Source organism: Homo sapiens, chromosome 3, assembly GCF_000001405.40.
Source record: "Homo sapiens chromosome 3, GRCh38.p14 Primary Assembly".
In the NCBI taxonomy this organism is placed as follows: Eukaryota; Metazoa; Chordata; class Mammalia; order Primates; family Hominidae; genus Homo; species Homo sapiens.
The window spans coordinates 107,323,064-107,330,569 of NC_000003.12; the positions used below are offsets into that span (position 1 = coordinate 107,323,064).

The 7,506-nt window shown below is 43.0% G+C and overlaps 1 long non-coding RNA gene and 1 pseudogene across 1 annotated transcript in view; one reads left to right on the forward strand and one right to left on the reverse strand.

Moving 5' to 3' along the window:
- The window catches only part of DUBR (DPPA2 upstream binding RNA), an 86,273-nt gene extending 82,372 nt beyond the window's left edge, over nt 1–3,901 (forward strand). Inside the window, exons 3-4 of the long non-coding RNA NR_028302.1 lie at nt 2,544–2,628; nt 3,403–3,901. This is a non-coding gene — a long non-coding RNA (DPPA2 upstream binding RNA). The remainder of the gene's footprint in view (nt 1–2,543; nt 2,629–3,402) is intronic.
- A 668-nt stretch (nt 3,902–4,569) lies between these two features.
- CSP2 (CS pseudogene 2) lies at nt 4,570–6,257 on the reverse strand (annotated as a pseudogene).

Consider the following 7,506-nt stretch of genomic DNA (forward strand, 5'->3'; position numbering starts at 1 on the left):
TTTATTTCTCACAATTCAAAAACAAAACAAAAAATGATGACATGACCCCATTTTTCCCTCCAGTCACCACTCATTCGTCTGTTTCCCTTTCTTCAAAACTCTTTGAGAGTTGTATGTGTTTTTTATCTTTCATTACCTCTCCCTTCATTCTAAATTGTTTGCACTTCAGAGAAGTTTTTATTTTCACTGTTAAACCAAAGCAGTTCCTACCAAGAACACATACAACCTTTATGAAGCTAAATTCAATGGTTGATCCTCAGTCCTCAACTGCTGGGCCACATGACATGATTAACACTTTCTTCTGGACACATTTTTCTCACGTGGCCTCTGGATCATCCCTCCTCATTCACAGTTCTAGTTCTCTTTTGTTTGTTCCTCCCAATGTCTCTGATCTCTAAGTAGAGTGTCTTATCCTCTAACTTTGTTCTTCTCTTTATATATCTGTTCCCTACCTTCTCTTTTCTTCTTTCCCCATTTTTCTCCTATCTGCCCCATCTTATCTGCTTTTGTGATCTTAAATGCTTTCTTTATGGAGATGAGACTCCCAAATTTGGATCTACAATCTGGATCTCTTTCCTCAATTCCAGAATCATACATCCAACTGTTTAAATGTCATCCTCCCACTTGCTTTCAAATGACTTCACATTTATTAAAGTCCAACCATGAACTTCTGATTTACACTAAAGACCTGCTCCTCCTCTTTTTTATCTCAATAAATTTCAACCAATCCATTAGCAAATGCCATCAGCTCTACCTTCAAAAAATATATAAAAACAACAACCACAGTGTGTGCCTCCTCCTCACCACTTCCGCTGCTATGTCTATACTTTCACCCACCACTGGATATTTGCATTGACTTTTTATAGGTCTCACTGCCTCTGCCCTTCACTCCTGGCAGCCTATACTCAATGCATCCAGGGCCAGCATCATGGGCATGTGACCCATGCAGTCACACAGAGTCCCTCACTCACAAAGACCCAGTGCTCGGTTTAATGCTGTGCTGTTGCCATCTTGAATTTCTTGATAATTTTTGAACAAATAGCCTCACACTTTCATTTCTCACCAGGTCCTTCAAACTGTAGCCAGTCCTGAATGCACCCAACTAGGCCTTTTAAATCATAAACCAGATCATATCACGTCTCTGTTCAAGACACTACAAAGGCTTCCTACTTCATTCAGAATGAAAGGCAAAAGCCCTACAATGACCTCCAGGGACACATGTGACACCCCTCCCCACCCCTCACCTCTCTGATCTCATCTTCTATCATTCTGCCTTTTGCACATTCCTTGATGTTTCTCAAAGACACTAAGAACACTTTCAACCTTAGGGCCCTTGCATAGCTTTTTCTTCTGACTGCTGCACTCTTACTTGAACATTGCATGACTTGCTCTCGTGTTTTCTTCAAGCCAAATTATAAGTGAGGCCTTCTCAGATTATTCTAAATAAAATAGAAATCAACATCAACCCCTTGACACTGGTGCTTTCTACCCACTTTATCCTGCTTTATTTATTTATTTATTTATTTATGACAGGGTCTCACTGTCACCCAGGCTGGAGTACAGTGGTGTGATCATGGCTCGCTGCAGTCTCAAACTCCTGGGCTCAAACAATCCTCCCACCTCAGCTTCCCAAGTAGCTGGGACTATAGGCATGTACCACCACACCTGGCTAGGTTTGTTGTTGTTGTTGAGGCAGGGTCTCACTATGTTGCCCAGGCTGGTCTCAAACTCCTGAGCTCAGGCAATCCTCCCACCTCAGCCTCCGAAAGTGCTGGGATCACAGGCATGAACCACTCACTCACATGCCCAGATCACCTGTTTTATTTTTTACCTTATACCTATCACAAGCTGACATTCATTCTTACTTAATTACTTATATATAGCCTGTATGCCTCTCCAAATCTAAAATGTAAGCTTCCCAACCTCAGGGATATTGCACTGTTCTTTGTGATATTTCTCTTACCCAAGGCACTGCATACCACATAGTATTTGTTGACTGACTGACTGACTGACTGAATGAATGAATGAATGAATGCACATATCATATTGAGAGACAGGCAGCATTGCTTCCATGCCCATGTTGTGTATACACTTCAGGTAAGCTAATGGCAGTGAAGCTGATGTCACTTCTCAAGTATCTTGAAAGTATCAGAGAGAAAGTGTTTCAAAAGAGCAAAGAAGTGACTCTAGTCCAAATGAAGTCACAGCCATTCATGTGACAATTGCCTTCTATTTCTTTGAGAGCCGCTGTACTGCTGCCTCATGGAAATCTTTAACTTTTCTACTGTTACTTAATGTTTTTACACATTGAAATATGATTTCCCCAACCCTAAGTTACTCCCTGTAGATAGAAAATTCTCCCTTATGACCCAGAAGAGCACACTACCTCAGAGAGGGAAGACTCACTCTGTCAATGTGGGATGATTAGTTGGTTGTCAACACCACAAGACTCTCCTCATCTGATAGATGTAGACGTACCAGAGTTTCAAACTTTCAGAGGAAGAGCCAGAAATGTTCATCGAGAATACACTTGTGCTGTTTAGTTAAAGCTCTCTGCAACGGATGCATCGCTGGTGCTCTGCTCAGTTCCTCTTTACCTGCTTCTGCACTCATGCTGTGATGGGAACTGTGAGTACTGATGGATGCCCCCTTCTCCTGAGAATTGCTCTCGGCCGATGCTAGCACAGGAAGCTCTACCTCTTTCCCTTCCCACCAAACCCTGGGACAAGGACTAATCGACCCAGGGGTTAAAGGGTAACCCCATGCCTTGGAATGGTATTAACCCTGTGGTGCAATTTGTGCTCCAGAGCTTCCTCATGGGTGAGACAGAAGCACGTGTCCTGTTGTGTCCACAACTACACTCAGCCTTTTTTGCTCATTCAATCCTCATTTTGGGCTATGTCTTCAGAAACTAAACCGAAGGCACTATCCAAAGATTACTTGTGTATTTCTTATAGAAGCCCCCACTCCACCCCCACACACAGACATTCCTCAAATAGGTTCCTATGACCTACCAGTTGAAGCCCAGGCTTCTTATCTGGACATTAAGTCTTTGCATGGTCAGTCGGGTCTCTGTCTTTCAAGATTTATTTTTCACTATCATACACCATATTAACCTACTCAGGGCTGCCTACTTTACATTCTCTCCCAGCCCTGCACATTCCTTGGAAAGGCCTCCCCTGCCTCGCCTGAATGATGAACACTCTATTCCTTATTCAAGACTCTAACATCACTTGCCCTGTGAAGGCTCCTCAGATTCCTCTAGGCTCAGTAGGTGCCACTCCTCAGTCCCCTACAGCATATGGTGTCAATGACAACAGTGATATGCTTGTCTGATTCCTCCACTTAACTATGAATTTTTTGTTGTTGTTAATAAAAACGTTTATTTTGCATTTTATACAGAACCGCCTGAAGTCTGCATCATGACTTGATGGTTACCCAGGGGTTTATGTGTGTCCAACTGAACACCGTGGTTCTGGGATTGAGGATCCGCACAAACACAGGCAGGAGTTTGGAGGGAAGAAGGGGGCACAGCAGGAGTGTATCTCAAGCCCACCTCAAAGGCAGCAGAGCATTCCAAGTTGCTGAAAACCTGTGCAAATGGGGCCTCTAAAACAAACATTGTACTGTGAGCTCTCGGGGAAGGGGCAGGAAAAGGATGTTGATAATTAAGGGGGCATTTTCTTGAGGCGGCAGATGAGGAGGGAGGCTTACTATTTTTAATCCCCTCAGCCCCAGGACATGATAATCAGAGGAGATCATGTCCAATCTTGAATCAATTCCCTGTTCAAAAAGAGGTGCTAATACCCCAGGGACCAGACTCTGAAAATACCATGAAAATACTCTGAAAATACCGTGCTGGTCATTCCTGAGTCCCTGTTCTATGCCCTACAACATATTAGAAGGGCAAGGGAAGGTCAGAGGGTAGTGGCTTGTGTTCTGTGGAAGTAAAACACCTTAGTTCATATTAAGCACTGATAAAACCCAATGACTGGGACCACAGATCTGTTGAGAGGTCACTAGTAGGGACCAAGAGTGGGAGGTCTGGAACATCCTCAGCTTGAGATGCAGTAGGTGTGGAAAGTCTGGGAGGAGGTAAATATTAAAGTAATGGGAAACAGAACACTCCCAAGCCTTAATTTTAATTGGATAGTTTAAAAAATTGAAATAGAATCTAACATTGGGTGCCAGTCACCACAAATGCCATGCCTTTATGGTCACTTGGTATCATAAAAAATTTGCCAAAGCATGCCTGTCTGGCTAATCAAAAGGTCTTGCTAGGAGGTGTTCGTGTGCATGACAGAGTGCCAAGGGGCTTGGTACCACTGACTATCCAACGTGATTCCTATGGAAACAGAAGCGGCAGAGTCTTGGTTAGCTGGCTTGTTGAGGTTTGGCAGAGAAGAAGCGAAAGCTCCAAAGTGACTGCAGATTCTCTGCAACTGGCTTTGACCCAGAGAAAGAGGAGCCACATTCTCACTCTAAAGATAGAGAGGGACCAAACCTAACCCACAGCACATGCATTAGTTCTGGTCATCCTACAGTTGATGGGCAACTAACACTGGGCAGGGGAAGGGAGCTGGTTAGGGAAGAAGGGCTCATTTTTCATTTTTTAAAGTCTTAATTAATATTTTAACCTCAAACAGATTATCAGTGCCTCAGATACAATTTAATCTTAAGTCTTTAAAAGGCCCCCTGAAACAAAAATATACATTTTTTTAAGGCCTCCTCACTTTCTGATAGTCAGTTTCCCCCAGTCTCCAGTTTTACCCTGACTTAGAGTCCACAAACTTCATCAGACCACCTGTGCTCATGGACGTGGGTCTTTCTAGAGGGAAGCCTCGGGCTCGGCTCCAGATGAGCTGTGCCAGTACACCCAATGCCTGTGATGCCCCAAACAGGACCGCGTAGCAATGTATCTCTGTCATGCTATAGTACCCACCATGTGCGTCTACATTGGGCCCAGGATTCTCGGCCTTACCCTACTGTCAGAGGATATTGGGCACAATCTTGTATAGCTGAGCAACCAACTTAAACATGGGATCATTATGCAATGTTTCAGAGCAAACTCTCGCTGACAGGTACATTGTGGCTCAGTCTTCTTTAGTACTGCATGGCCATAGCCTGGAACAACCCATCTCGAGTTCAGTGTAGTCTTGTAACTTCTCATCTGACACATCTTTGCCAACTTCCTTCTGTAGTTGTGTTAGCCAGACAAGCACTTCCTGATTTGCCAGTCCATGTAGAGGAACTGCCAGCCCATTCATGGCTGCTGCAAAGGGCAGGGAAGGGTCTGAAAGGGTACTGCCTGCCAAATGCCTGGCATGAGCACTTATATTGCTGTGCTCATGGTCACTGTGGATGGTGAGCTACAGGTGCATGAGCTCAGTGAACTGAGCATCAGTATAGCCTAACATGTTGGTGAAACTGTGGGACCAGTCCAGCTTAGAGTCAGTGACCCCAATACCACTGCCCTCTCCACAGAGATTTTGGTAGACCTTTTCTGCAATACAAGGTAGCTTTGTGATTAGACACACATGGTCTTCATAAATCAACTCCCAGTACTTGGTTTGACTGGCACCCTCTGGATATGCTCGGGCAAAGTTGTTTAGGGCTGCCATGGCTGCAGTGGGCTCAGACATGGGTGTGGATTGGTGGGAAAGTTGTCCAGCATGGTGACCACATGGGAAGGTAGAGCTGCCTGCCCTCTTTGCCCACTCTCTTAAAAGCCAAGATACCTGTTCCTCTCTTGGGATCTGTCCAGTTACCAGCAGCCAAAATAAGCCCCTGGGTAGGGGTTTTCCCCACCCTTAGTCTTGGGTAGCAGTTTTTGGTATTCAGGGATACTGAAGCCTCGGAAACAGATAACCTCATCAGGATCAAGAACTGATGTTTATATACCAATCCCTTAATGCCTCTCATGCCGCCATACATTATGTCTGCAGTGATTTGGCCCACCACCTTCTTGCCATGTTGCTGCCTGAAGGTCTTAATTCTGGCCTGCTCCTTAACTATCAGGTCAGCCAATATGTCTTTCAAATTCTTGGAGGAAGCACTGGCATGCCAGGCAGCAAGAACAAGACAAGATGCACTGTTGCTTCCCAAGAGCCTGGCAGCCACTTGGGTAAAACCATGGTGAGTGAACTCTGCGATCTGGTGGAGAGGGAAGAAGGGGAGAGAGCTGTGGCAGAAACAGGAACCACCACTGCGGCACCAGAGGCCGCAATGGGTGGACAAGGTTGAAAGGAGGCAGCTGAGGAAACACATAGATGAACCCGCAGCAGGTGCCCAGCCAGGGGTTCTCAGCAAGGCCCTGTGCACTGCCAACTATGAACTTATTAAGACTGACTTTCCAATAGTTCTTAGCAGTGTGTGGAGTAGAAGACAGAACAACGTATACCTTCAGAATGCACAGAGCCAATGCATTTTTGGATTACAAATAAATCAATTTAAGACCTATTGCTTCTGACAATGATTTGCAAATTGAGAAAATTCTGGAAAAATAGACATCCAACAAATTAACAGTGATTATACCTAATGACAGGGTTACAGGTGGGGATTTGTTTATTTGTATGTTCTTATTTGTTTCTTGTTTCTTATGTCAGCAAATTTTAAATAGAATATGCAAAATGATGACCTCAATAATAAAAAATATTGTGTTTATTCACAAGAGTTAAATAATGTTTATAGAAAGGAAAAGATGCGAATGTTTTTGGACAGATTAGGATTTAAACAAAAATGTTAAACACAGAATACAAAATATGTTTTTTCTCCTGTTGTCTAGCTTTTGTACAGTGAACACATGTTGCTTTTATAGTAAGAAATATACATTTTAAGTTTCAAAATTACTCAGATTTTGTAAACAATCTAAAAGAAAATAAATGTGTTTGGAAAATCCATTTCCGAGTTTACAGTAGTGTTGAATAGCCCAGCCAAACAACACATGACCTGAATCAAACACAAGTTTACTGGACTCACTCACTATTCCAGAAGGGTGACCACATTCTTTTGTGTTACTACATGTCATCAGTGCCTGTAAGAGACAAAGGTCTTTGAATGGTGTTAAGGTTTTTCATTGGTTTTCTTGTATTCTTAACATTTTATGGTCAAGGTCCTTTGATGTGGGTTCATTCCATAATATTTGTGATGAATGAAAATACATGAACACAGAAGGAAAAACAGGAATGAATTGAGAAAAATCACATCATTCCAGGTAGTCTGTCTCTCCGAAAAAAATCATCAAGCTAAACCACATGATATGAAAATTCATTCCTGAATCCTCAGAACAAATAAACTTCTGGTTCTTTTTTCTTGGAGAGGAAAATAAGGAACGTGATGACAATATTTAAGATGAGATATCATTTTAGCTTTACATATTCTATGTTGAGAAGTCTTTTCTTTAAATATTAATTTGTCCAAACAACTTTCACCTTTTCCTCTCTGTAAAATATTATTTAGGCCAGGTGTGGTGGCTCACGCCTATAATCCCAGCACTTTGGGAGGGTG